The sequence below is a fragment of the Homo sapiens genome, chromosome X (assembly GCF_000001405.40).
Source record: "Homo sapiens chromosome X, GRCh38.p14 Primary Assembly".
Classification (NCBI taxonomy): Eukaryota; Metazoa; Chordata; class Mammalia; order Primates; family Hominidae; genus Homo; species Homo sapiens.
The window spans coordinates 60,190,787-60,193,920 of NC_000023.11; the positions used below are offsets into that span (position 1 = coordinate 60,190,787).

Consider the following 3,134-nt stretch of genomic DNA (forward strand, 5'->3'; position numbering starts at 1 on the left):
GTTTTGAAATATTCTTTTCGCAGAATCTGCAAGTGGACATTTGGAGCGCTTTCAGGCCTGTGGTGGAAAAGGCCTGAAAGCCTTTTCCTTTATCTTCACAGAAAGACGAGAGAGAAGCATTGTCAGAAACTTCTTTGTGATGATTGCATTCAACTCACAGAGTTGAAGATTCCTTTTGAAACAGCAGTTTCGAAACACTCTTTCTGTGGGATCCGCAAGGGGATATTTGGACCTCTTTGAAGGTTTCATTGGAAACGGGATAATCTTCACCTAAAAGCTAAACGGAAGCATTCTCAGAAACTTCTTTGGGATGTTTGCATTCACCTCACAGAGTTGAACTTTCCCTTTGATAGCGCAGCTTTGACACACTTTTTCTACAATGTGCAAGTGGATCTTTAGCGGGCTTGGAGGTCTGTGTTGGAAAAGGAAATATCTTCTCCTAAAAACGACATAGAAGCATTCTCAGAAACTGCTCTGTGATGATTGCATTCAACTCCCAGAGTTGAACATTCCTTTTGATAGAGCAGTTTGCAAACACTCTTTTTGTAGAATCTGCAAGTGGAGATTTGGACCGCTTTGAGGCCTGTGGTAGTGAAGGAAAGAACTTCATATAAAAACCAGACGGTAGCACTCTCAGAAAATTCTTTGTGACGATGGAGTTTAACTCAGGGAGCTGAACATTCGTTATGATGGAGCAGTTTCCAAACACACGTTTTGTAGAATCTGCAAGGGGATATTTGGACCTCTCTGAGGATTTCGTTGGAAACGGGATCAACTTCCCATAACTGAACGGAAGCAAACTCAGAACATTCTTTGTGATGTTTGTATTCAATTCACAGAGTTGAACCTTCCTTTGATAGTTCAGGTTTGCAACACCCTTGTAGTAGAATCTGCAAGTGTATATTTTGACCACTTTGTAGCCTTCGTTTGAAACGTCTATATCTTCACATCAAACCTAGACAGAAGCATTCTCAGAAAGTTTTCTGCGATGACTGCATTCAACTCACAGAGTTGAACAATCCTTCTGATGGAGCAGTTTTGAAACCCTCTTTCTTTGGAATCTGCAAGGGGATATGTGGACCTCTTTGAAGATTTCACTGGAAACGGGATCATCTTCACATAAAAACTAAACAGAAGCATTCTCGGAAACTACTTTGTGATGTTTGTATTCAACTCCCAGAGTTGAACTTTCCTTTTGAAAGAGCAGCTATAAAACACTCTTTTTCGAGAATCTGCAAGTGGACGTTTGGAGGGCTTTGAGGCCTGTGGTGGAAAAGGAAATATCTTCACACAAAAACCAGATAGAAGCATTCTCAGAAACTACTTTGTGAGGATGGCATTCAACTCATGGAGTTGAACAATCCTATTGATAGAGCAGATTGGAATCACTCTTTTTATAGAATCTGCAAATGGAGATTTGGACTGCTTTGAGGCCTACGGTAGTACAGGAAGGAACTTCATATAAAAGGCAAACGGAAGCATTCTCAGAATATTCATTGTGATGATGGAGTTTCACTCACAGAGCTGAACATGCCTTTTGATGGAGCAGTTTCCAAATACACTTTTGGTAGAATCTGCAGGTGGATATTTGGAGCTCTCTGAGGATTTCGTTGGAAACGGGAATAATTTCCCATAACTAAACACAAACACGCTGAGAAAGTTCTTCATGATGAATGCATTTAACTCGCAGAGATGAACCTGCCTTTGAGAGTTCAGGTTCGAAACACACTTTCTGTATAATCTGCAAGTGGATATTTGGACCACTGGGTGGCCTTCGTTCGAAACGGGTATATGTTCACGTAAAAACTAAAGAGAAGCATTCTCAGAAACTTCTGAGTGATGATTGCATTCAAGTCACACAGTTGAACCCTCCTTTTGATGGAGCAGTTTTGAAACTGTCTTTTTGTAGAATCTGTAAGTGGATACGTGGACCTCTTTGAAGATTTCTTTGGAAACGGGAATATTTCCACAGAAAAACTAAACTGAAGCATTCTCAGAAACCGCTTTGTGATGTTTGTGTTCGAGCCACAGAGTTTAACATTGCTTTTCATAGAGCAGTTTTGAAATATTCTTTTCGCAGAATCTGCAAGTGGACATTTGGAGCGCTTTCAGGCCTGTGGTGGCAAAGGCCTGAAAGCCTTTTCCTTTATCTTCACAGAAAGACGAGAGAGAAGCATTGTCAGAAACTTCTTTGTGATGATTGCATTCAACTCACAGAGTTGAAGATTCCTTTTGAAACAGCAGTTTCGAAACACTCTTTCTGTGGGATCCGCAAGGGGATATTTGGACCTCTTTGAAGGTTTCGTTGGAAACGGGATAATCTTCACCTAAAAGCTAAACGGAAGCATTCTCAGAAACTTCTTTGGGATGTTTGCATTCACCTCACAGAGTTGAACTTTCCCTTTGATAGCGCAGCTTTGACACACTTTTTCTACAATGTGCAAGTGGCTATTTAGCGGGCTTGGAGGATTGTGTTGGAAAAGGAAATATCTTCTCCTAAAAACGACATAGAAGCATTCTCAGAAACTGCTCTGTGATGATTGCATTCAACTCCCAGAGTTGAACATTCCTTTTGATAGAGCAGTTTGCAAACACTCTTTTTGTAGAATCTGCAAGTGGAGATTTGGACCGCTTTGAGGCCTGTGGTAGTGAAGGAAAGAACTTCATATAAAAACCAGACGGTAGCACTCTCAGAAAATTCTTTGTGACGATGGAGTTTAACTCAGGGAGCTGAACATTCGTTATGATGGAGCAGTTTCCAAACACACGTTTTGTAGAATCTGCAAGGGGATATTTGGACCTCTCTGAGGATTTCGTTGGAAACGGGATCAACTTCCCATAACTGAACGGAAGCAAACTCAGAACGTTCCTTGTGATGTTTGTATTCAACTCACAGAGTTGAACCTTCCTTTGATAGTTCAGGTTTGCAACACCCTTGTAGTAGAATCTGCAAGTGTATATTTTGACCACTTTGTAGCCTTCGTTTGAAACGTCTATATCTTCACATCAAACCTAGACAGAAGCATTCTCAGAAAGTTTTCTGCGATGACTGCATTCAACTCACAGAGTTGAACAATCCTTCTGATGGAGCAGTTTTGAAACCCTCTTTCTTTGGAATCTGCAAGGGGATATGT

At 40.9% G+C, this 3,134-nt stretch overlaps 1 annotated feature.

The window, feature by feature from the left end:
• Positions 1 to 3,134: part of a centromere (Linear centromere model derived predominantly from reads generated in PMID: 17803354. This region does not represent an actual centromere sequence, as long-range ordering of repeats and unmapped WGS contigs is not provided by the model. For details of model production, see http://arxiv.org/abs/1307.0035.) that runs on past both edges of the window.